Consider the following 27,571-nt stretch of genomic DNA (forward strand, 5'->3'; position numbering starts at 1 on the left):
TGAATTTGTCTACCCATCTCACTAATCTGTATGTAGCCTACCACTGTAATATTTAACCACCTGAAAATGCAGGCATAGTGGTTTCAGAATAAGAAACATACAACCCCATGAGAAACACCCTTACCACCTGTTTATGTATACCAACTGCTTATGTATAAATCCTTTAGCCTTTAGACAGAATCTGCACTTATTATGTCAGTTGCTTAGGTCAGCTTCTTTTTCCCCTTCCTTCAGTGGATTATTTCATAGATTTGTATAAAGTATTTTCTCTGCATTTCTTCCTGGGCTGTTCCTATCTACTAAATAAGTTTTTTTTGTTAATTTACATACTTTCAGGTTCACTCTTTGTGTTATAAAGTTTTGTGGGAGTTGAAAACCTGTATCTTTTATCCACATTACAGTAGCATACATAATAATATACAAAAGGAAATTTTCTATCTTTACAGATTTGTCTTTCCTTTTGGCTGAGACCGTGGTAACCAATAAACTCTTTACTTTCTCTATCCTTGTGCCTTTTCTAGAGTGTCATATATTATGTTAAAAAAAAGTATTTTGCTTTTTCCAAATTGCTTTTTGGACTTACTCATATGCCTTTAGGATTAGTAAAGGATATCTTATGGTTGGGATTTGCATTTCCCTAATGACAGAGGCATTGAGCATTTTTCCATATGCTTATTAAACATTACTATAGCTTCTTTGGAGACATGACTGTTCAAATTTTCTATTTTTGATTGGAGCATTTGCCTTTGGATTTTTGCGTTTTAAGATGTAATATATTCTGGATTATAAATTCTTATTGGATATTTGACATACAAAGACTTTTCTCCCATTTTTAAATTGTTTCTTTTGTTATGTACTTTACATTATGATGTATGTTATTAGTGATGTTTCAATATATCTATTTTCTCCTTCCTCTTGTGCATTAGTTGTCATATCTTAGAAATCATTGTTTAACCTTTGTTAAACAATTTGTTTTTGTTTTTAGTTTTGGCTTTTTAGGTGTATGATTGTATTAGTCTGTTCCCACACTGCTATAAAGAACTACCTGAGACTGGGTAAGTAATAAAGAACAGTGGTTTACTATATCCACAATTCTACAGACTGTACAGGAGGCATGACTGGGGAGACTTACAATCATGGTGGAAGGAAAAGGGGAAGCAAGCACATCTTACATGGCTGGAGAAAGAGGAATAGATAGAAGAAGGAAGTGCCACACAGTTTTAAGCAACCACAGTTTGTGATAACTCACTATCATAAGAACAGAAAGGGGGAATCTACCCCCATGAGTTAGTCGCCTCGCACCAGGCCCCTCCTCCAACATTGGAGATTACAATTTGCCATGAGATTGGGAGGTGACACAAATCTAAACCATATCATCCTGCCCCTGGCCCCTCCTAAATATCATGTTTTTTTCTCATATTGCAAAATACAATCATTCCTTCTCAATAGTCACCCAACTCTTAACTCATTTCAGCATTAACTCAAAAGTCCACAGTCCAAAGTTTCATCAGAGATAAGGCAAGTCCCTTCTACCCATGAGCCTGTAAAATCAAAAGCAAAGTCATTACATTCAATATACAATGGGGGTACAGGCATTGGGTAAATACACTCATTCCAAAAGTTATAAATCAGCTGGAAAGGAGGGACAACAGGCCCCATGCAAGTTTGAAACCCAGTAGGGCAGTCATTAAATCTTAAAGCTCCAAAATGATCTCCTTTGAATCTGCATCTCACATCCAGGCCTCACTGATGCAAGGTAAGGGCTTTCAAGGCCTTGGGCAGCTCTGCCTCTCTGGCTTGGCAGAGCTCATCTATTGTGGCTGCTCTCAAGGGCTGGCATTGAGTGCCTGTGGCTTTTCCAGGCACATAGTGCAAGCTGTTGGTGGATATACCACTCTGGGTTCTGGAGGACAGTGGCCCTCTTCTCACAGTTCCACTAGGCCCCCAGTGGAGACTGTTTCTCGACGCTCCAACTCTATACTTCTCTGTGCTGTCCTAGTACAGGTTTTCCCTAAGGGCTCCATCACTGCAGCAGACTTCTGCCTGGGCATCGAGGCATTTCCATACATTCTCTGAAACCTAGGCAGAGGCTCCCAAGCCTCAACTCTTTCCCTCTGTGTACCTTCAGGCTTAACACCACGTGGAAACTGCCAAGGATTATGGCTTGCACCTCCTGGAGCATGGACTGATAAGTATCTGGGGACCTTTTAATCATACCTGGAGCTGGAGCAGCTGGGGCACAGGGAGCAGTGGCCCAAGGTTGCACAGGGCACCAAGGCCTTGAGCTTGGTCCTTGAAACAATTATTTTCTCCTAGGCTTTTGTGCCTATGATGGGAGGGGCTGATGGGAAGGTTTCTGAAGTGGCTTTGAGGCATTTTCCTTATTGTCTTGGGTATTAAAATTCAGTTTCTCTTTCTTTTTGTTTTGTTTTGTTTTTTTTTTAGATGGACAAGTCTCGCTCTGTCACCCAGGCTGGAGTGCAGTGGTGCGATCTCAGCTCACTGCAAGCTCCATCCTCCCAGGTTTACACCATTCTCCTGCCTCTGCCTCCCGAGCAGCTGGGACTACAGGCACCCACCACCATGCCCGGCTAATTTTTTGTATTTTATAATAGAGTTGGAATTTCACCTTGTTAGGCAGGATGGTCTCAATCTCCTGACCTCGTGATCCACCCATCTCAGCCTCCCAAAGTGCTGGGATTACAGGCGTGAGCCACCATGCCTGGCTAATTTGGCTCCTCTTATGCGAATTTCTACAGCTGGCTTGAATTCCTCCCCAGAAAATGGATTCGTCTTTTATTGTTTTACTTTTTTTTTTTTTTTTTGAGACAAGTCTTACTCTGTTGCCCAGGCTGGAGTGCAGTGGTGCGATCTCAGCTCACTGCAACCTCCACCTCCCGGGTTCAAGTAATTCTTCTGCCTCAGCCTCCTGAGTAGCTGGGACTACAGGCATGTGCCACCACGCCCAGCTAAATTTTGTATTTTTAGTAGAGACGAGGTTTCACCATATTGGCCAGGCTGGTCTTGAACTCCTGACCTTATGATCCACCCACCTCAGCTTCCTAAGGTGCTGGGATTACAGGCATGAGCCACAGTACCTCGTCAGGTTTTTCTTTTTTACAAAATGGCTGGACTGCAAATTTTCTAAACTTTTATGCTCTGCCTGTTTTTTAAATATAAGTTTTAGTTTCATAGCATCCCTTTGCTCACACTATGACAATACACTGTTAGAAGCAGCCAGGCCACATCTTGAACACTTTGCTGCTTAGCAATTTCTTCCACAAGATACCCTAAATCATCAGTCTCCAATTCAAAGTTCCACAGATCCCTAGAGCAGGGGCACAATGCCACCAGTCTCTGTGCTAACATAACAAGAGTGACCCTTACTCTAGTTCCCAATAAGTTCCTCATCTCCATCTGAGACCACCTCAGCCTGGACTTCATAGTCCATGTCACTATCAGCATTGTGGTCACAAAAATTTAACCAGTCTCTGGAAAGTTCCAAACTTCTCCTCATATTCCTGTCTTTTTCTGACCCCCTCCAGACTGTTCCAACCTCTGCTCATTACCCGGTATCAAAGTCACCTCCACTTTTCAAGTATCTTTATAGCAATGCCCCACTCCCAGTAGCAATTTTCTGTATTAGCCTTCTTGCATTGCTATAAAGAACTATCTGAAACTGGGTAATTTATAAAGCAAAGAGGTTTAATTGACTCATATAGTTCTGCAGGCTGTAGAGGAAACATGGCTGGGGAGGCCTCAGGAACTTACAATCATGGCAGAAGGAGAAGGGAAAGCAGACACATCTTTTATGGCCTGAGAAGGAAGAAGAGAAAGAAGGGTGAGGTCCTACACACTTAAATAACGATATCTCATTCACTTACAGTCATGAGAACAGCAAGGGGAAATCTTCCCCCATTATCCAATCACCTCCCACCAGGCCCCTCCTGTAACATTGGGGATTACTATGTGGCATGAGATTTGGGCAGGGACACAAGTCCAAACCATATTAGTGACTAATTTGTACTATTTATGCATATACTGTGAGGGAGGAGTTTAACTTGCCTGTTGATAATGTTGATAATGTTGACTTGTCCCAGAATCCGTTGATGAAAAAAATACTTTTCCGTATTGAATTTACTTGGAGCCCTTGTAAAATTATTTGACCGTAAATGTAAAGGTTAACTTTTTGATATTCAATTTTATTCTATTTATCTGTATGTCTACACCACACATGTTAATTAGTATGGCTTTGTCTTTAATTTTAAAATCAGGAAGTATGAGTCTATTTTACAAATTCCATTTTTTTTTTCAAAATTATTTTAACAATTCTCTATTGCATTATATATACAATTTAAAATCTGTTTGATAAGTTAGTGAAAAAAGGTCACCTGGGATTTTCATGGAAATTGCATTAAATCTATACAGTCATAGAAAAAGTATTGTCAACTTAATAATATCAAGCCTTTTAATCAATGATCATTCAACATTTGTCCATTTTTATAGAATTTTATTAATTACATTTAATATATTTTACAGTTTTAATATACATGTCATATGCGTATTTTGTTAAATTTATTGTTATGTGTTTTTCCTTTTTGGTGCTATTTTAAATAGCATGGGTTTCTGAGATTTTTGTTTAGTTTGTTAATTTCTACTATATAGAAGTACATATTTCTGTATACTAACCTTGTGTACTGGAACTGTATTGAACTTATATTTTAATTTGCATTCTATTTTATTAGAGTCATTTTGATGTTCTGTAAACAAATTATGTCAATTGCCAACAGAGTTTTACTTTCTTTTATGCCAGATGTCTTATATTCATTTTTCTCTACTAATTGTCCTTGCTACATCCTCTAGCATAATGTGGGGAAGAATTGTGGCCAGAATGAAATTCTTTGTCTTATTTCTAATCTTGGAGAAAGTATTGAGCCTTTCAGAAAACTTTTATATCATGTGAGGGTTTTTATTTTTTTGGATGCTTTAAAGTGAAGACAGTTTCTTTACAGTCCTAATTTGCTGCATATCTTTATCATGAATGTGTTTTTGATTTGTCAAGTGCTTATTCTTTGTCTTTGAGATGATCGTATAGGTTCCGTGCTTTATTCCATTAATACAGTGCATGAATTGTATATTGAACAAAATTTGCATTCCTGAGGAAATACCCTTAGCAATAGTGTATAATATTTTTGCATGTTGCTGATTTGTTTTGCTATTATTTCCTTAAGGATTTTTGCCTCTTTATTCATAAGGCATATTGGTCTTAATTTTCCTTTCTTGAAATGTTTTGGTCTAATTGTGGTATGAGGATAAAATACCTCATAGTGTGCATAGGGAGTGATCTCTTCACCGCTGTCATTGCTGTTGTTTAATGTTTTTAGAGAATTCATAATGAAGTTGTATTCTTTAAAGGTATGAAATAATTTCCTATTGAAGTCATCTTAACATGGAACCAGAATTAAATCCTAACAACAATCATGTGAGCCTGGGGAGGATCCTTCCCCACGTGAGCCTTCAGGGGAGACTTCAGCCTTGGCCATCTTCTCCATCTAGATTCCTGACCAAGAGAAACTGTGAGTAATGTGTATGTGCTTTTCAGCCACCAAGATGTGTGGGAATTTGTTATGCAACAATAACTAAGTAATACACCTGGCATTGAATGTAATGTGGTATCCTAGATTAGATACTGGAATAGAAAAGTGACATTATTGGAAACCTGAAGAAAACTATGAATAAAGTCTGTAGTTCCATTGATAGTTCTACAACACTGTCAATTTCTCAGTTTTCATGAATAGTCTATGGTTATATAACGTGTTAATATTCCTTTAAGCTGAAAGGTATATGAAACTCTCTGCATTATATATATTATATATTATATATATTATACCTCCTTCTGTAAGTCAAATATGATTTCAAAATAATTTTAAAATAATATTTTGGTGGAAAGCAAAAACCAACAAAAAGACATAAGCACATTAACTTGTTTTCAGGAGATCGGGTGGGCAAGTCGGGAAAGAACAGCAGCACAGCTTTCCTAATTTAGCCACCATTCTGAACGCAGGTGCACCTGCTTCAGTTAAACACAGTTAGCTCCAGGGACTCTCATCCATTTTTGCCTTTGAAATCGTGCTACCCATTATCCAGGAACATTTTAAGTGTCAGTAACCACTTCTTCAGAGAGAGGTGCCTTTTCCTCATATATCCCAGGACGCCCCATTTTCAGACATTGTCTGGAAGTTTATTCACATAATTCCACTAAAGCCTTTCTGGAAAAAATGACTGCTGGACATTAGAAGCCGATATTGCAAAATGTCAGTGACAGGGAACACAAATTGTATTTCTACAATCAGGAGAGTGTTTTATTTCCCTTGGTACAGGGATTTGTTCTTCAACTGGTTATCAGATCACTGGGATAATTTCTATTTCTCTCGTCATGAATTATTTAGGACCATATATTCTGTTGCTCTTCACATCTTGGAATTATATTGTCCATTTCCAGGGTCAAAGACCACAGAATAAATGTCATCCTGGCAGCAGGTGAGTAGGGCACACAAACAATGCTTCTAAATATGGTGGTTGATGACAATGCTTGCTTACTAAGACCCCGATATGAATCTGTGGACAACTGGTTTTTGGCAGGTGAAGTCATGTGAGTGATTCAGTATATGCTTTGTATGGCTGGAGAAAGCTCAGTAGATACAAGAAAAAGCAGTGTGTAACAGATCTCCCCCCACCATGCAGTGATCTAAGAGATGGACCCAGGCTAAATGGTGACTCTGCACATGTTCTGGCTAAACAAAGAATCTCACAGCAGGAAGAAATATCCAGCTATCCCCCACATAGGTCCCTGTTCATAGTTCACAGCACTCTGCGGTGTTAACACCAGGGTTGTGTCAAAGAACCATGCCTACAAAGCCTACCAAGCCGTGAGTCTGCATGCTGCACTCACACAGACATAGACAAAGCCAAGACTATTGCCTTTATGGTGGTTCTGAGTTCTCAAGTTTAAAGGAAAACAGGCAATATACACAAAACTCTACTGCCATATTGGCATGGAAAGGACAGAGTGCTGAGCACTGAGTGCCCAAACAAGTGCTTTAACAGCATGGAAGGCATGATTTCCCACAATATACTAAGCAACTAAATTCACAAAGGCCACCACAATTCTAAAAAAAGATGTCATTGCAAACAAACCCAAGTCTTAGACCACAATATGAGACAAACATTCCAACATGCTGTCTCCACACTGTAGCCTGATTAGGAGTTGTAGTTCAATGGATGAATGGCTCATATATTTAACATCATTACTTCATATTCATGTAATTCAACCTTCCTGGAGTGTAAAACTATTGGTGAAATTTCAAAGTCCTAAATTATGAATTGTATGAGTTTCTTCTTCACTTAGTATTTTCCCAAGGATACAGGAAAACTAATTTCAATATCCAAGTGTCCAAAAGTAGAGTTTGCCAGAGTAGCAAGGGGGCAGAACAAAGCATTTTATGAAGATCACAATGCATCTACTTCTACAGTGACTATGTATTATCACCATTTGTGTGATTAAAAGGGTGAATGAGAATGAAGAAAAACAGAGATCAAGAATGTTATAGATTAAAGAATTGAATTTGTAATATGGCTTGCAGGGATCATTGCTTATATTTCTAACTTTAGGACACAATTTTTTTAATATAGATTTTCCTTAGTCTTTAGAAAACTAACACTTCAGGAAAAATTTCAAGTGTCTCTCTACAATTTATATCTTCCTCGTCAATAGATTTCTTGAACCGTAGTTTATAAAACAATTACAGCACGTCACTAATAAGTCTAATATTTCTAATAACTAAGTAGATTGTAAATAGAGTTGGTAAATTAATATGAAAATATATACAAGAATGTTTACTTAATAACAGACTAAACTGATCATTTCTGAAGTGCGGGGTCCCCATTTCTGAGGGGGTCATGGCTGCATGCCCGTAAGCAAGGGGGGTGTTGTGGGTGCTTTGTTTGCCCTGTTAATTTTGGATCCCTCTGTGCTCTGTGAACTATTAAGATAATATTTGTTTGAAAAATCCAGTTGCTTTAACTTTTCCTTTGTTTTAGTCTGTTAACAAAATTATCGCTTTTCTTTTACTGACTTTAGATTTAATATATTCTTCTTTTTCTAGTTTCCAAAGGTGTAAACACAGATGACAGATTTTTGGTCTTTTCATTGTTTCCTATGTATGTGTTCAATGGTATTTATTTGCCTTTATGTTCTGCTTTCCTTTCATCCTACAAATTTTGATAAATTGTGTTTTTATTTTCATTTAGTTAATTTAAAAAAATTTCTCTGGAGATATCTTCTTTGACCCATATATTATACCGAAGTGTGTTGTTTAATCTCAATGCATTTTGGGATATTACAGTTATCATTCCATTCATCCTTTGATTTCTATTTTAATTCCACTGTGGTCTTAGAGCTGACATTGTATGATTTACTTTTTAAAAGTTGTTAGGGTATTTTTTGTCCCAGAATGTGGCACATTTTGCTGAATATTCCATGTGAGCTTAAGAAGAATGTGTCATCTGCAGTAGTTGAGGGAAGGAGACTGTAGGTGTCGGTTATGCCTAGTTGCTTGTTGGTGCTATTGAGTTCAGTTTTTCCCTCCTGAATTACTGCCTGCTAGATCTGTCTGTATCTGTTATAGCGTGTTAATGTTTCCAACTATAATACTGAATTCATCTTTTTCCTTGTGGTTCTCTTGATTTCTGCCTCATAGTTTATGCTCTGTTATCAGGCTCATAGGCTTTAAGAATTAGGACATCTTCTTGGAAGAATGGCTCTTCATCTCTATGTAATGCCCTTCTTTATTCCTGATAACTTTTCTTGCTTTGAAGTCTGCTCTGCCTGTAATTCATATAGGTCCTCTTGTTTACTTTGATTAGAGTTAGCATCGTACATTTTGTTCCATTCATGTACTTTTATTTGTCTTTATATTTGGGTTGGGCTTATAAATAACAGTTGTATCTTGTTTTTTGATTCAGTTTGTAAATCTGTGTCTTTTACTTGGTGCAGTTAGACCATTGACATTCAAAGTGGTAAGCGATACAGTTGGATTAATATTTATCATATTTGTCAATGTTTTCGATTTGTTGTCCTTGTTCCTTCTTCCTATTTTCATCTTCCATTCATTTTCTGCCTTTTGTGGTTCTCATTGAGCATTTTATATTTTTCCATCTCTCGCATTTCTAAAAATATCAGTTATATATAATTTTAACTTTTTCTTGGTTTAACATTTTTATATTCTTAGTTTATTATAAGAGAAAACAATTTCTTGAAAATAATAGAAAAATTATTAAATAATATATGCCTATGCATATATCTTATGTATAAGTATATATGTGTACAGATATATGCACATGTGCATGTGTGTTTGTATGTGTGCATGTATATGTATATATATATACACATATATATATATGAAGTGGATATCAGCAATAATGCAAAGGACAGGAGAAAGGAATTAGGATTATTTGTTATTATAAGATACAGTAACTGTGAAGCAATATAACTTTATTAGAAAAGTAGCTCAGTTTAGTATTTTTTATTTTTTATAGTTTTTATATTATTTTGATGTTTTTTAACTTTATATATTTGAATTTAGGTTTGTGGATACATTTGTTATATAGGTAACCTTGTGTAATGGAGGTTTATTGTACAGATCATTTTATCACCCAGGTACTAAGCCTACTACCCAATATTTACTTTTTCTGCTCCTCTCCCTCCTTCTACCCTTCACTTACAAGTAGGCCCCAGTGTCCTTTGTTCCGTTCTTTGTGTTCATGAGTTCTCATCATTTAGCTCCTACTTAAAAGTGAGAATATGTGATAATTTGGTATTCTGCTCCTGTGTTAGTTTGCTTAAGGATAATACCTTCTAGTTCCATTCATGTTCCTGTAGAAGACATGATTTCATTCTTTTTTTCCAGCTATATAGTATTCCATGATATATATGTACCACATTTTCTTTATCCATCCTGTGATTGATGGGCATTTAAGTTGATTCCATGTCTTTTTTCTTGTAAGTAGTGCTCCAATGAACATTCATGTGGATGTGTCTTTTTGGGAGAATGATTTCTATTCCTCTGGGTGTATACCCTGTAATGGGATTGCTGAGTTGAATGGTAGTTCTGATTTTAGCTCTTTGAGGAATTGACATATTGCTTTGCACAATGGTTGAATGAACTTACACTCCTACCAACAGTGTGTAAGTGATCCTTTTTATCTGCAACCTCACCAGCATCTGTTATTTTGACTTTTTAATAATAGCCATTCTGACTGGTGTGAGATGGTATCTCATGTGGTTTTGATTTGCATTTCTCTAATGATCAGTGATATTGAGCTTTAGTTCATATGCTAGTTGGCCACATGTATATCCTGTTTTGAAAATGTTCTGTTCTTATCCTTTGCCTACTTTTTTTTTTTAAGACCGTGTGTCACTCTGTTGGCCAAGCTGGAGTGCAGTGGCGCGATCTCGGCTCACTGCAACCTCCACCTCCCGGGTTCAAGCGATTCTCCTGTCTCGCCCTCCCAAGTAGCTGGGAGTACATGAGCGTATCATCACACCCGGCTGATTTTTTGTATTTTCAGTAGAGACGGGTTTCACCATGTTAGCCAGGATGGTCTCGATCTCCTGACCTCATCATCCGCCCGCCTCGGCCTCCCAAAGTGCTGGGATTACAGGCATGAGCAACCGCGCCCAGCGCTTTGCCTGCTTATTAATGGGGTTGTTTGTTTTTCTCTTGTAAATTTGTTTAAGTTTTTTATAGATGCTGGATATTATACTTTCATCAGATGCATAGTTGCAAATATTTTCTGCCATTCTATAGTTTGTCTGTTCACTCTGATGATAGTTTCTTTTGCTGTACAAAGCTCTTAAGTTTAATTGGATCGCATTTGCCAATTTTTGCTTTTGTTGTGATTGCTTTCAGAGTTTTTATTATGAAATCTTTGCCTATTCCTATATCCAGGATGGAATTGCCTACATTGTCCTCCAGGGTTTTTATAATTTAGGGTTTTACATTTAAGTCTTTAATCCATCTTGAGTTAATTTTTGTATATGGTGTAAGGAAGGGGTCCAGTTTCAGTCTTCTGCATATGGCTAGCCAGTCCTCCCAGCACCATTTATTGAATAGAGAGTCTTTTCCCCATTGCTTGCTTTTGTCAGCTTTGCCAAAGATCAGATGGTCATAGGTGTGTGGCTTTATTTCTAGGCTCTCTATTCTGTTCAAGTGGTCTATGTGCCTGCTGTTGTAGCAGCACCATGCTGTTTGGTTACTTTATCCCTGTAGTGTAGTTTGAAGTCAGGTAACATGATGCCTCCAGCTTTGTTCTTTTTGTTTATGATTGCCTTGTCTATTGGGGCTCTTTTTTGGTTCCGTATGAATTTTAACACAATTTTTTTCTAGTTCTGTGAAGAATGTCATTAGTAGTTTCATAGGAACGGCATTTAATCTGTAAACTTCTTTGGGCAGTATGGTTAGTTTTAAATATAATATTTCCAACTGTAGAACAGTCTATTGCACAAAAAACCTCTTATCTTCCTGGCTGTTGGCCATTGGCTAAATAAAGTGCCTTGCCAAGGGGGCTTCTCACACTTCATAAAATCCATCAAGAGAGACATTTCTAGCAAGACCAAAATCATAATCATATGTAAGAATCCAAGTGACACTTCTATACCTTTGCACTATTCTATTGTTTCAAAGCAAGTCACAATTCCTACTTAGACTCACTTGGATGGGATTACAGTAGAAGGTTGTGTATATGAGAAGGTGCGGATAAATGGGCACCAACTTAGAGTCTACCTGACACATCAGGTATTCTCGTTTATGAAACAGTTTCCTGGCCTTCACTTCTTTTTCTTGACCTTGACCCTTTTGAAAAGTACCAGTCAGGTATTTAATAGGATGTCCCACGATATGGTTTTAGCTGATGTTTTCTCATGATTAAACTAGGAATATCAATGAATTAAACACCTTCACTTAAATCTGAAGACGAAAAAGACCTAAAGAATATAGTATTAAGAAATACTCAAAGAGGAAAAACTATTTTTAAAGTATGGAATGACAATTCACAATATAATTAAGTTCAGTGCTTAAGGAAAACTGAGAAATTAAGGAGATGCACAAAGGAGGTATCAACAATATTGCTAATGATTTTTTTTTAAGCTTGGGAGTGACATTAACAACAACAACAACAAAAAAAAAACAAGTTTTAAAGAATGGTTTTCCAAGGCTGGGCATAGTGGCTCACATCTATAATCCCAGCACTTTAGGAGACTAAGGCGGGCAGATCACCTGAGGTCAGGAGTCCTAGAGCAACATGGCAAAACTCTGTCTTTAGTAAAAATACAAAAAATTAGCCTGGCATGGTGGTGGATGATTGTAATCCCAGCTACTCGGGAGGCTCAGACAGGAGAATCGCTTGACTCCAGGAGGCGGAGGTTGCAGTAAGCCGAGATCACGCCACTGTACTCCAGCCTGGGCAACAGAGGGAGAGTGTCTCAAAAAAAAAACCAAAAAACAAAAACAAAAACAAAAAACAGTTCTGTGGTTTTACATTTACAGAACAGTTGCAAATCTAGTAGAGAGTTTCCATATACTCCATGCACAGTGTCCTTTATTATTAATCTCATAGTGTGAAACCTTTGTCAAAATTAACCAACCAATATCATGTATTGTCATTGAGTACTATACATACTTTATTCTGATTTTTTAGTTTTTGCTTAATGTTAAGTTTATGTTTTAGGATCTCTTCCAGGATACGTCATCACATTTAGATATTATGGCTTTACAGGCTCCATTGAATGTGATAGTTTCTCAGAATTTCCTTGTTTTTGATGCCATTGACGTTTCTAATTTAGGATTACTCTGATGTTTCTCTCATGATGAGACTGGACTTCTGGGGAGGAAGAATACAGACGAAAAGTACCATTCCTATCACATAATATCCAGGGCACAAGCTGTCAACAGGCTTTATCACTGTTGATGTTAATTTGATCACCTGGATAAAAATCTTTTAGTTCTAAAAATCTCTTCTGTAAAATTTTTCTTTTTCTTCCTTTTCATGTTGTGTGTATAAAAAAAGTCACTATATACAACACACACTCAGTACTTGGAGAATCATACACCACTGCTTTTTCTTTGAAATAAATTTATTAAAATTTCAATAGCTTTGGGATTACATGTAGTTTTTGGTTACATGCATGAATTGTATGGTGGTGAAGTCTGGGGCTTTTAGTGTACCTGTCACCTGAATAGTGTACATTTTACCTCATAGGTAATTTTTTATCCCTCACTAGCCTCCAACCCTCCTCCTTTCGGAATCTTTAATGTCCATGATCCCCCTCTGCATGCTCCTGCATATCCATTGCTTACCCCAAACTTATAAGTGAGAACATGTGGTATTTGGTTTTCTGCTCCTGAGTTACTTCACTAATGATAATGGCCAAATTGCTTTGAAAAACACTATTTTGTTCTTTTCTATGGCTGAGTAGTATTCTGTAATATACATACACACACACACACACACACACACACACACACACACACACACCACATTTTCTTTATCCACTAATTGGTTGATGGGCACTTAGATTGATTTCATATTTTTGCAATTGTGGATTGTGCTGTGATGAACCTAGAAGTGTAAGTGTCTTTTTGATAGAATGACTGTGTGTGTGTGTGTGTGTGTGTGTGTGTGTGTGTGTGTGTGAGAGAGAGAGAGAGACAGAGACAGGGTCTCACTTTGTCCTACAGGCTGGAGTGCAGTGTATTTAATTTATTTAAGCTCAATGTATTTAATTTATAATTGTATTAATTTCTTTGATATGTTTTCTAGTCCTCAGTATATGTATCTTATACTTATTTTATTAAATTAATTCATAGGTATTTAATTTTTATGCCATTTTACATGAAATGGTTTTTGAAATTTTGTTTTTAGATTGTTAATTGCTAATAAATAAAAATACAGTTGATTTTGCATATTGACCTGTACTAAGCTGTACTACAAGCTTGCTTAACCCTTTTTTCATATTTTGTTATGTTTTATTAGAGATTTTATGATGTCTGTAGGCAGGATCATGTCATTTGGAGACATAATTTGACTTTCCTTCAAATCTGACTTTTTTATATTTATTTTCTATACCAATTACCTTGTTCATATCCTCCAATACAGTGTTGAATAAAACTGTGAAAGTGATAGCCTTCTCTTGTTTCTAATTTTACAAGAAAGTTCTTGAGCTTCTCAGAAGATTTAGGATGTCATGTGAGGTTTTCTGTGCTTTCATGGTGAGGAAACTTTTCTTATTTGCCTAACTTGTTGCATGGTTTTATAAGGAATGAAATTTCACTTTAGCAGGTGCTTATTGCTCATCTTTTAAGATGACCATGTGTATTGTGTCCCTTATCTCTTAATATAGTTTATGGCACTAATTCTTTTCGTATGTTGAACCAAATTTGCATTCGTAAGATGTATACCTTCGTCAAAATTTATAAATTTTTACATGTCAGTTATTTGCTTTGATAGTATTTCCTTTAATTTTTGTGTTTATGTTCATAAGTCATATGATCAATATGATCATAGTTTTTCTTCAGTAACTTTGTCTAGCTGTGGTATAAGGCTGATAATTCACATTGGAAAGTGATCTATTCTTCATGTTGCTCTTACTGTTTTTTATGTGAAAGGTCTAAATTTATTTAGCACAAATAGAATGGAACACATGAAAAGGAGAAAAAATGTACATTTTTTCAAGGTAATTTTCAGACTTTGCAAACAATTATATTGTGTAAGTGAATAAAACCAAATCAGAGTAGTAAAAAGATGTAATTGGGCTACATAGATGGAGATTTAGAAAACACTAGAAAGGGAGAGAGAAAGGTGGGTGATAAATTACTCTTTTTAATATGATTTCATTGTTTTGCATATTTCTTTCTTTACACTACCTACAAGTATAGACAAACATGAAAATATGGGTTGACAAACAGGTACTTATTATTTAGAAGAAATACAAGATTTAAATTCTGGTATTTCATTAAGGTCAATTTAGTTTGTATGCTCAGGAGACCTAACATGTAGACATTTGATGTGACACATTTTGTGAGCCTTCATAAATATCTATAAAAAATGGAATATCACAGTTTTAGAAACTTAAAAGTTGAACAAAAGAAGGATTTAAATATTATTATTAAAGTTGTTACCTATTCCCAGATGAGGACTTAGAAAAACAAACAGTTGGCAAACCAGTGCAGCAGGTGACTTCCGTGAAGCCGGAGGCACACCCTGGGGACTGCGGTGTTGCTGGAGCTGACACTGCTGTGCTGCACATGTGGCTGCCACCAGTTTCCTCCCTCTCTGGGAAGTGGAATTTGAATTGCAGGTGCTGATGGCTGATGGACGGAGGGACAAGACCACATTATCTCAAAATGCTTGGCTCTGTTGCTTGCTCCTCATTTCACTGCTAGGTGCCACAGGCTTGGGGTTTACTGTTTATTTTTTGAAAAATATATGATAAATTGGTATTAATTATTTGAAGATGTAAAATCATTCACTGGTGAAGTCTTCTTGACCAAGTCAGGATTTTTTTTTTTTTCACAGACATGGTCTCACTCTGCATCCCGGCTGGAGCACAGTGGCATGAATGTAGCTCACTGCAGACTTGAACTCCTGGGGGGGTCAAGCAATCCTTTTGCCTCAGCCACTTGAGTAGCTGGGGCCACAGGCACATGCCACCATATCTGGCTAATCTTTTTTCTTCTTTTCTTTTCTTCCTTCCTTTTTCTTTTTTGTGTGTGGTAGAAACAGGTTCTAAGTATGTTGCCCAAGCTGGTCCTGAACTCCTAGCCTCAAGTAATCCTCCTGCCTCAACCTACCAAAGCATTGGGATTACAAGTTTGACCCACCATGATCAGTCCAGGGTAGGAAATGGAATCTTAACAACTGTCACGTGAGCTTTGAGGGAATCCTTCTCCAGATGAGCCTTCAGTTGAGACCTCAGCCTTGGACATCATCTACATCTGGATTCCTGACCCAGAGCAACTGTAAGTAATGTGTGTGTGATTTTGAGCCACCACACTATGTGGCAATTTGTTGTGCAGCAACTGATAACTAATACAAAAGATAGCACATTTAATTTCTAATACTACCCTGGATTAGATTCTGGAACAGAAAAATGGCATTACTAGAAAACCTGGTAAACTCAGAAGAAAGTCTGTAGTTCAGTTAATAGTTTTAAACCAGTGTAAGTTTATTAGTTTTCATAAATACATTATGGGTATATAAATAAGATGTAACATTCTAGTAAACTTCTGGGTATGTAAAACTAGCTGTACTATGTTTGCATCTTTATGTATATCTAAAACTATTTTAAAATGAAATCTTTGATTTTTTATTTTTAATTAAAAAGACAGGCATGCGTATATTATACCAGCTTCCGGGGAGGCTGACTTGGGAGGATTGCTTGAGCCCAGGAGTTCCAAACTGAAGTGAGCCATGATTGTGTCACTGCACTCCAGCTTGGGAAACAGAGGGAGATCAAGACTCAAAAAAAAATTGGCCTCAGAAGATGAATGGACATGGAGAAAAAAAATAGCCAAGCAGATTTCCGCATACATTTACCCTTCCATACATACATCCATCTACTTCAGGAAGCCACTATCAAACTCAAGGAACTCTTGTCCATATTTGACCTCCCCATCACACTCTTTATTACCAAGTAACTCGTTTGAGTGTCAGTAACCTCTCTGTTTTCAGAGATATTTGCCTATGCCTCACAAATCCCAGAAAGGCCCATTTTCAGATATCATTTAGGAACATATCTACATGATCCCACTGAACATATTTTGGCAGACAAAGTTTCTGGATGCCAAAGACCAAGATTGAGGAATGTTAGTGAGAAGAAATATAAATTATATTTTCATATTTTTTTTTATTAATACAGGCTTAGTTTTCTAAAGATAATTCTGCCTTCAAGCCTTGTTGGAATTCTGTGATAATGTCTTTTCACTCCACGATCTCCATCAGGAATTTTATGGAACCTTGTATTCTGTTGAATACCAGAATTACATCAGCAATCCCCAAGCCCCAAAGTCACCGGATGGGCATCATTATGACAGCAGGTGGGTGGAATTCAAAAAACAAAACAAAACAAAAAAAATATATATATATGTATGTATGTGTGTATATATATGTATGTATATGTATGTGTGTGTAGATATATATATGTGTGTATGTGTGTGTATGTATGTGTGTGTGTGTGTGTGTGTGTGTGTATATATATATGTATATATGGTGGTTGGTGGTTTTGGCAGTTTCTACTTATCTGGGCCTGGACAAAAAAATCTTTTCATACCAGATTTTTGGCAGCTGAGATTCAAAACAGGTTTTTCAAGGGCATGGAAAACCTGATAGTGGCTAAACAACAGGCGAGGTGTGGTGGCTCATGCCTGTAATGCCAGCATATTGGGATGCCAAAGTGGGTGGATTGCTTGAGTCCAGGAGTTCAAGACCAGCCTGGGCAACATGGAGAAACTCTGTCTCTACAAAAAAAAAAAAAAAAATAGAAAATGTAGCTGAGTACAATGGCACACACAGGTGGTCCCAGCTACTCAGGAGGCTGAAGCAGGTGGATGGATTGAGCCCAGGAGGTCAAGGCTGCAGTGAGCCATGATTGTGTGACTGCACTACAGCCTGAGCAAAAAAGTCAGACCCAAGAAAGAAAGAGAGAGAGAGAGAGAGAGGAAAGAAGGAAAGAGGGAAGAAAGGGAAGGAAGGATAGGAAGGAAGAAAATACAACATATCCCCAACCCTCCAGCAGTGATTTAAGAGATAGACAGAGGCTGAGTGGTGATTCTGCATATGTGCTGGCTAAACAAAGAATCCCACAGCAGGAAGGACTCTCCACTCACCACACACACAACTTCCTGTTCAACACGCTGCTGGACAGCACCAGGGTTGTTTCCAGGGACCATGCCTAAAAACCCACAAAGACATCAGACTTCATTCTGCACACCCATGGTCATGTATAATGTTGACTTGTTTTTTTCGTCTATAAACATAGGGTCTATTGTCTACACCATGGTAATAGTGACAGTGAGAAATGAGCTCCTGTGACCTAGAAACTTGGAAGAGACATTCAGCTTCATGGAAGTCATTCCTCATTCTTAGATGAGGATAACTGTTACGTGGTGTTATTTGAGCATTTGTAATTCAAGAAAACTAACTTCTTTAGGCTCATACTTTATTACTTGAGACATGACAGCTTCATTTAAGGTTCCTATTTTAAAACATGGTGGGTGTTTCCATTTATTTCATTTGAACTGGAGATACTATCATACTTTCGTGACTTGTCAAATCCCTTTTTATCTTGATTTCAATGCATGTTTTCTAATCTATCATGATGAAGAGTGTGAAGATTGTGCTTCACCAAACCAGGAAGCAATTAAAAAAAAAGCTCGAATGGCAAGCCATAAGTTAGACATAAGTAAATGCATACAAGCTGTAACCCATCTCAATGTGGCATATCAGGGAGATGGAGACTGGAGAGCTGAGGTTTAAAAGAAAACAGGCACTAAATTCAAAGCTGTGCTAAATGATGTCACAGGCACAGATGACATCGTGTGGTGCTCCAAGTTCCCAAACAACCTCTCTGACAGCACAAAAATTATGATTTCTCATAATATACTAAGCTACCAGGTTTCAGAGTGGCTGTCCTGGACACTACAATTTTCAAAAACTATCATTGCAAACAAGCCAAATTCCTAGACCTCTTCATGAGGCAAGTACCTAACACTCTTTCTCCATCCACACTTTAGACTGATTGGAAGTTAGAGTTCAATGGAAGGGTGGCTAATATAATTGAGACCATGATTTCATGTTCCCTTTATTCAGTCTTCCTGAAGCCTTAAATCCAGGTCAGGGAAACATTCATCTAACTCATTACAATTCTGCTTCCTCCTCAACAGATTTCTAGGACCATCATTTTTAAAATTATTTCTACATATGTAAGATAGGGATTTCAGTACTCCACTAAAAGCTCTCCATTTTTAATAGTTAGCAGTCCATGGAAGGCAGTTCTTTGCAAACCTACCACCAAAATATGAGGAAGCTGAATAGCTGAAGATAGAGGCTGATATAACCAGTCTCTTAGAAAGAAACATTTAGTAGGGATTTATGAGCAGATATTTGAGTCTCACATAGGGCTTATATACCATGGGGAAGGGGCACAGTTAGAGGTTATCAGATTGGAATCTGTTTACCTGGAGTTGGAATTATTCGTGGGTTCCCAGACTAATGTGAGAATGTGTTGGAGCATTATAGTGTGGGGACCCAAAAATTTCTGGGAAAGTTTATCCTGCATCTCCGTACAGATCTTGAAAAGCAACAAAAACTACAGCAACCAAACAGAACGGGGAGTAGAATACCAATTATACAGTATATGAGAGTCTTCCATGGACCTGGAAGTCGACTAAACCATGATATTGTGGGATCCTGGGAGAGGACATTTATAGCAGAAATATGAGTATTCAGTGCGTGCATAGCCTGGATTATATCGTGAGAATAATCTGGTGTATATATGCACCATTCAGTCTTAATGCACAAGTGTCCCACTAGGCTGCAGTTAGGATATCTAAGGCCATAGGGTTCTGTAGGGTCACTTGCCTAATCTGCATGATTTTTCAGTGGGAAGGGTAATGTTGGGTTAGGTGTTATTACTGGCAGCAGCTCTATACTTAGGGTCTCTACTTATAATTCTACATCTGTGTTTGCTATCTGGGAGGAAAAGGCAGCTGGTGAGTAGAACCAACAGGGTGCCCATTTTTGATGGTGTTGTCTGTCCTTCACATTTTCCCAGTTGTCAGGGAGACAGTCCAGATGGGACAGGATGTGTCCTGGTAGGTAAGGGCACCCCCAGGTGTTTCTGCCAGTCCAGCTGTAAGGTAAGTAAGACCAGCTATGACTGCTTCAGGCCTATAGCTATCTCCAGGAGAATGGATAGGCCCCACCATGTAGCTTGATACTATTTTGCCATCCTAGCCACATATTATTATTCAGTTGATGGGTTTGGCCACATTGCTAAGAGGTAACCATCCCTTAGCCTGGCTGCTAGTGTGGGGTGTGTTGCTCTTGTGTTTTTGGTTGCGTAGAGGTGCCTGACCCATTGCCTGAATTTGCACCATCATCAGCCATCCTATGTTGTCATGTACAGCATAGTCTATAGAGGGGGTGATGTTAACCTGCTTATGAGCCAGATGGAAGATATGTTTCCAGGTTTCCCCAAAAGTGGAGCACTCATGGTGAGTGGTACTGTAATCATAGATGGGAAATGGGTGAGAATTTTTACTTTTGTCCTACGTATAAACATAACTCCAAGTGCTCGAGGTGGTTGCTTGGATGTGCAATGGCAAGTCAGCAGTGGAGAAAGGGGTACCTCCCCCAGAGACCCAGCAGTCTATTTTGTTTTGGAGGAAAGCCACTGTCTACACCCATTCAGGTAGTTTCAGCAAAGATCAAGTATGTACTTATTACTCTAGAATTAACTGAGAACTTCATGTTAACAAAAGTATATTGGTTATCTCTCCTGCTTTTTCTCTTATTAATAGCTTCACATCTTACTTTAGCTCACATAACCAGGCAGGCATCTGAGTGAAGCCCACCTTTCAGGCTTTGAAGGGACTCAGCCCTTTGTACTGTATTTCCTTTTTAGGAGGACTACATGCTGTCTTGGGATTGTTTGTAGTGCACAAGATGCATCCTTCTGTAATTTTCCGAGTGATATTTTGGAAGTGTGGGCTACTGAGATGTGGTTGCACTAGGTTGGCGAGGACATCACTCCCATAGTGCGTTCCTTTATGTAGATGTTTTGAGATTGGATAAACCAAGGCCTTGTGGTTTCATCATCCTGTAGGTGTCAGTTTTCCAGGGGAATTGGAATCTCTTTTCTCAAACCCCTGGCTCGGGCACATTTGGGATCTTGTTCAGTGTAATGAGGTTTAAAATCTAGTAATTCCAAATGGAGTATTCATGTCCCAGGACCTGTGCCTCCCAAGCAGCTCATTATGCAGCTTTGCCAGCTGCCTGCTTACTTTTGGTTGTGAATTGTCTCTCTGGTGTTGGGGAAGTGAATGATGGAAGCCTGGGCAGGCAAGGCAATTGCCTTTACTAAGGCCAGAATTTCTCCTGAGTGTTTAATATCTGTATTTTCTGATTATAAGTAACCTCCTCTATGTTTCCAGATCACCCAATTGGCGTGCATTTCCAGGAATGCATTTATGGAATAAGAATAAATGTTTACTCCCTTTTCCTGGGACAGTTCTAAAGACTCAGGTAAGAGCAATTAACTCAGCACTTTGTGCGGAGGTAGCTGCAGGAAGGGTATGGACTACTATTACCCTTTTGGCAGTCACGGTGGCATATCCGGCTCTGTGCACATCTTTCATTAAGCTGCTCCCATCAGTGTAGTTCAAGTCCAGAGCACTCATTGTCTAGTTTGACAGGTTCAGCATGCTTGAATAAGCTGCATCAAGGATTTACAGTCATGCTTTAACCCAGGATTGTGTTCAGTGGCTGAGAGCAGTGTGGCAGGGTTTAGAGCCATGGTGGTTTGTAGGGTGATATTTGGATCATGTAAGAGGATGGCCTGGTATCTGCCCACTCACCCCACAGTGAGCCAGTAGCCTCCCTTTCATTCTAGCAGAGTCAGCACCTGATGGGGCACAAACACAGTAACTGGCTGTCCCAGAGTAAATTGTTCTACTTCCTGTAGGACTTCACAGTGGGTGCTTTTGCCCAGAGGAAGGCGGGGGCATCCCTTAACCTGTGGCCTAATTGTTTAGAGAAATGGGCCATGGAATGTGGGACAACTCCCAGCATTTGGATTAGCACAACCCACACCTATGGTTTGTTTCTTCTGGATATAGAATTTGAACAGCTTTTGGGAATTTGGTATCCCAGTGCAGAGGGTGATATCAGCTTTTCTTTGATGGTATAAAATGTTTGTTGACCTTTAGATGGCCAGAGAAGGGCCTCTGAGTCTAGTCCCTTTAGGGATTCATAAAGGGTTTTGGTCATTAGTCCAAATTTAGGAATCCAAATCTGGGAGAAGCTAACCCTTTCTAAGAATCCCCGCAGTTGCCCCCATTCTCTGGGACTTTATGGCTGCCATTGCCTGTTTTTGACCAGACCAGGCTCGTTTGGCCTTGCTTTAACCTAAAGCCAAGACAGGTTACTTTCTACTTTTGTATTTGGGGCTTCTTGGGAATACTTTGTATCCATATTGTACCAGGTGATTTAAAACTAAGATGACCTCAGCTAAGCATTTCCTATAGTTGTGGCTGGTATTAATTATCTACGTGTGGTTAGCCAGGCTTCTTAATCTTGTTGTAGGTCTCCTAAGTCTTTTGCCAGTATTTCCCCAAAAATCGATGGTGCATTTTTCAACACATTGAGGCCCCACTGTCCAACAGTATTGAAAGACTGTTTTAGTCTCTGGGTCCTGTCATTAAAAATAATAATAATAATTGCTGGGTCTTTTCTTTAATTGGAATGCAGAACAAAACATCTTTTAGATCTAGCACTGAAAAGCATTCATACTATCTATATATAGCAGTCAGTAGAGTATATGGGTTAGGCACCATTGGGTGAATATCCAAGACTATTTTATTAACAGCTCTCAGGTCTTGGGCAAATTGATATTTGTAGATGTGTAGCTTCCTTACAGGCACGATAGGGCTATTATATGGGGATCTGCAAGGATGAATCAGTCCACTTCTCAAATTTTTGAAAGACAGGCTGTATTCCTTCTAAGGCTTCCTTTCTTAATGTATACTGATTTTTTTTATTCGCCTCCCCCCCGCCGCCCAGGTCACAGTAGCCCCTTCTATTTTTTCCATGTGCACTCACTGTGTATTTCTTGTTTTTCCTGGGATTCCGTCTGCCTATTCACAATTACACACTCTCTCATAGACTTCTAAGGGAGAATTCTTGTTTCTTCTTAAGGCAAGTGAATAACATGTTACTTGCAGTGCTTGCTCTAGCAGGACCTGCAGCTGTAGTTGTTTCTCTGGGGATAAATTACTTGAGTATTTAATTTGCATAATGGGTCTTTTCCCAGCAAGGGAATTGGGCATTCTTGCATATAGAAATAGCAATGCCTTAGGTCCAAACTTTCTAGTTTGCATTCTAAAGGTTGTAGGAAAGCCTTTTGTTGCATTATTCTTGCAACTCCTATCACAGGTATGATCATTTTGGTGCTTTTTGCTCGTAAAGTGTTAAAACTGAATAGTTTGCCCAGTATCAACCAGGAAATCAATTAACTTTTTCCTCACTGTCAGTTGTACCCAGGGTTCCTGTGGGGAAATTTTAATTGTCTCTAAGTGATTAAGGAGAGTCCCCAGGCATCACTGTCTGTGGTCAGAGCAGTGACCCTGCTCCATGATTTGACTGTGGGCTTTTTCCTAGTCATATTCCTCCTTTTTCTGGCCCCTTGGTCCTTTCTTTTGGGACAGTCATCCTTTCAGTGGCCTTTCTCCTTACACTAGGCACGCTGGCTGTGTTCCAGAGGCTTGCCTCGATTTTTCTGATGCAGAGCCTTCCTTGTTCATTCCACATTTATGGTTGAAACTTCTGTTTCTTTGTCTCTGGAGCAGGGAAGGGGTCATTCCTAGTGAGGCTTCCTGTTTTGGCACCCCTTTCCTGAGTCCAAACATGAAGAATGTTTGTGAATATTCCAGATGGGCCATGTCCCCTTATCAATTGGAGCCCCAATTAGGGTTTGCATCCAGAATGGTTCCTTCAGGTTTGGGGTATTTGGATTTGTTTCATGGAGACACCAAGACTCTGGATCTTCTTTGGTCTGCAGCCAGAAGCATATTTAGGAGAGGCTACACATCTGCTCAGGTACACTGGTGGGTGGCACAGATAGACACATAGAGAGCAGTCATTTTCTGGGGATCCATTCTATAAAGTGGGGTGGAGTTTTTCCGTTTCACAAGTTAGTTGTTGAAAATGGGCTGGATGTCCAGTAATGTCTGACAGGTTGCCCACTCGCATCCAAGCCACCCATGGCCATCCTTATAAATGGGAATTCCCTTGCTCTGGCCATGGCACTTCCTTGCTAAATCGTGTACCCTGTCAAGCACTGGAAGGAGAGGCCGTCTCTGTTCTCTCATTATACTGAGGTGGCAGAGTAGCTCCCTCTTATTGGTCTGATGCCTCACTTGGTAGCATGAAGGCAATTTGGGCCAACGCAGAGGCCAGTGCTAAGGGCCCGGTATGGCAGTACTGCAGTGGGAGCTGTTGGGGTGGAGCAGAGGCCAGGTGCGTTCTGGCTGTGGCGGCTGGAGCTGCTAAAACAGCTTGGGTGTAGGACATTTAAAAGTCCTAATTCTTCTTCATTGCTTTCTGCCTGAATTTGGCTCTCTGGCTTGTGAAGAGCCTTTTTTCCATTCTGTCCTTTGGTACATCTTCCCTCATGGTATGAATCCTGATTTTCAAAAAGGATGAAGGTTTGGACATATTGTATTTTTTCTAATTTTCCCGACCTCTGACAAAATGAGTCTAACTGCATTAAAGGCTAGTATTGGTTGCGTCCTTTCAGAGGTCAAAATTTATAACATAACTTGTCCACAGTCCAAACAGCACTGCAATAATAGACCATTTTTCTCTTAGTCATGGGCTTATAGCTATAGGATCTACACTTAGCTAGGGTATGCCCCAGGGGCCTTTCAGAGGTGATAGAGACCTTGTTTCCCCTCCTGACTTGGTTTATATGTCCATACTGCTCATCCCTGTGAAACAGTGATGACAACTTTTATTTGTTGTCTCTCTTCTGTTCTGCACTGCTCATATCCTTCAACCAGACCTCTATGGGTTGGAAAGACTTTTCAAGCTTCATATAAGCAGTGCAATTTATACCACTCATGGTCCTAAAGGAACACTTGTGCCAATGTCACCACAGAGTTGGGACAGCCAAAGAGACCAGAGAATAAACTACTTGGGCAGGCTAGTGATTAGCACCAGCTAGCACAGCACTCCCCTACCACCGCCCCCCCTCCACCCCCCGCCCCGGGCCCACCAGCACATCAACTTCATCCCAAGTCCATGTTCTGCTGTCCTTAGTACCCTAGTAGAGGGTAACCGAATGGCAACAAATTAAATGGTAAATTAGCAGACAAAAAGGGCACAGGGGTTGGAGTCAGGACTGCCTAAATACTTATCCCATATGCTGTTAAGCTTTTTTTTCACATAAACAACATTAAGCACCATAAGCATGGTGGCAAGCCCTTTAGATAACCTATGGAATAGCTCACATCCTTCCTTTCCCCATAAAAACTGGCACAGCTGTGAGAAGTACTCCAGGGCCCTAAAAAGAGTGACCCTGCTAGGGCACTGGAGGCTGTTTCCCTCCAGGGCTGGATCCTGGATGGAGTGGGGCTTATGCAGATCACCTTGCAGAGGAAAGAAGGAGGAGGAGAGAGAGAAAGAGATGAGGGCCTAAATGTAGATATTGTACCTTTTACAGTTGCAGATTCAGACTGCACAGTCCCAGACAGATCCCCACTAAAGGGCTGGGTAAACGTCCTGAAACCTCCTCTCAATTTCAGATGCCCTCCCGCCAATCAGCTGACTCCAAGTGGAGCAAAGCCCAGGTGTTGACATAGATGCAGATAACATACACACCCAGATGATGTCACAATCAGCTATATGTAAACAGAGCAGAGGTCAGGTGACATCACAGAACAGGCAGAGGCAGTTCAGGGGGTATTCTGGTTGCCTTACCCAGCTCTGAAGTCTGTCAGCCTCTTCAGATGTCACTTGCCCTGTGGTAAGGAAGTGTAGTTGGCAGCTGGTGCAGTGGCAAGAAGAGAAAGGAAGTTCCCCAAGACAGAAACATCTCAGCAGGTAAAGAGAAATTCCCTAGAGCCCCAATCAAGGGACCAGCTAGTTGGAAGCAGGTGGCATTCCTGGGTAGTTTCTTTCCCTTCCAGTGGCCAGAATGGTTAAGCCTTGGTGTGCTTGTGTGTCTGATTGCCCCATTCATCGGAATCCAGACCGATGGTTTCAGGAACTCTGAGTGTGTTGTTCCCCTCTATGTGTCCATGTGTTCTCATCATTTAGCTCCCACTTATAAGTGAGAACATGGAGGTATTTGGTTTTCTGTTCCTGTGTTAGCTTGCTAAGAATAATGGACTGTAGCTCCGTTCATGCCCCTGCAAAGGGGGACATCATCTGGTTCTTCTTTATAGCTGCATTATATTCCATGGTGTATATGTGCCACATTTTCTTTATACAGTCTATCATTGATGGACAATTGAGATTGATTCCATGTTTTTGCTATTGTGAATAGTGCTGCAGTGAACATATGTGTTCATGTGTCTTTATAACAAAATGACTTATATTCCTTTGGATATATACTTAGAAATGGGATTGTTGGGTCAAATGGAAGTTCTGTCTTTAGGTCTTTTAGGAATCACCACACTGTCTTCCACAATGGTTAGCCTAATTTACACTGCCACCAACAGTGTATGTGTTCCTTTTTCTCCACAATCTTGCCAGCTTCTGGTATTTGTTTGATTATTTGTTATTTGTTATTTTTTGACTTTTTAATATACCCATTCTGACTGGTGTTAGATGGTATTTCATTTTGGTTTTGATTTGCACTACTCTAATAATGAGCGATGTTGAGAAGATTCAAATAAATGCAATCAGAAACAACAAGGGTGATATTACCACCGACCCCACAGAAATATAAACAACCATCAGAGAATATTATGAACACCTCCATGGACATAAACTAGAAAATCTAGAAAGAATGAAAAATTCCTGCACAAATACACCCTCCCAAGACTGAACCAGGGAGGAACTGAATCCCTGAACAGACCAAGAATGGCTCTGAAATTGAGGCAGTAATAAATAGTCTCAGTGACAAATTTTTAAAATGCCACTTAGAAAATGTACACATAATTTTGCTCTATGCAGCAAATATATTTGTAACAATCACTTTTAGGAAGGGTGTTAAGATATTTTATTATTTTTTCTCATTTAGCTTAATATTTTAAAAATATTTTTCTGCTGGCAACTATTTATATCTCCATTTTCATTGACATAGTCAATAATTTACCCACCTTTCTATTAAATAATAGTGGATCAACTGATGTGTATTATTTTATACTGAACTTTGGCACTCTTGACATAATTCATATATGAATAGTCATCCAAATGTCTTGGCCAGTAACGATGAGATTCATCCACCAAGGTTGAACAGGAATTTTCTCACCTGAAAGCAGCAAGCAATACAAAAGCAAGAACATGGTAGAAGAAATTCAGGAGTCCCACAAGCAGATGAGGATTTATTTAGGGCCTGAGAAGGTGCAGGGACCCCTCATAGGGGCCTGTGTACCACCCGAAGCATGGAAATAAAGGAAAATCTTGAGTCCCTTCACAGAAATTCCAGGCACCTCTCTACCTCTGAGAAGTTCATGAGCCACTTCACAAGCAAGAAGTTAAAACAGTAGCAAGGAATGGAGAGTCATGGGAA

The 27,571-nt window shown here is 39.1% G+C and overlaps 2 long non-coding RNA genes across 3 annotated transcripts in view; one reads left to right on the forward strand and one right to left on the reverse strand.

Moving 5' to 3' along the window:
• The window catches only part of LOC105370733 (uncharacterized), a 440,742-nt gene that overhangs the window by 258,090 nt on the left and 155,081 nt on the right, over window positions 1–27,571 (forward strand). The window contains exons 6-9 of one of the 2 annotated variants that reach the window (XR_007064538.1): window positions 5,416–5,576; window positions 6,450–6,540; window positions 15,835–16,076; window positions 16,446–16,969. The exons of the other annotated variant lie outside the window; for it this stretch is intronic. This is a non-coding gene — a long non-coding RNA (uncharacterized LOC105370733). Of the gene's footprint in view, window positions 1–5,415; window positions 5,577–6,449; window positions 6,541–15,834; window positions 16,077–16,445; window positions 16,970–27,571 lie in introns of those variants that run through there. 2 annotated transcript variants of the gene reach the window in all.
• Window positions 16,944–25,641, reverse strand: LOC102725165 (uncharacterized). Its single transcript, XR_007064541.1, has 3 exons — window positions 25,547–25,641; window positions 17,943–18,007; window positions 16,944–17,080 (listed from the first exon to the last, which is right to left on the reverse strand). It is a non-coding gene; the product is annotated as an uncharacterized LOC102725165 (long non-coding RNA).

This window comes from Homo sapiens, chromosome 15, assembly GCF_000001405.40.
Source record: "Homo sapiens chromosome 15, GRCh38.p14 Primary Assembly".
NCBI lineage: Eukaryota > Metazoa > Chordata > Mammalia > Primates > Hominidae > Homo > Homo sapiens.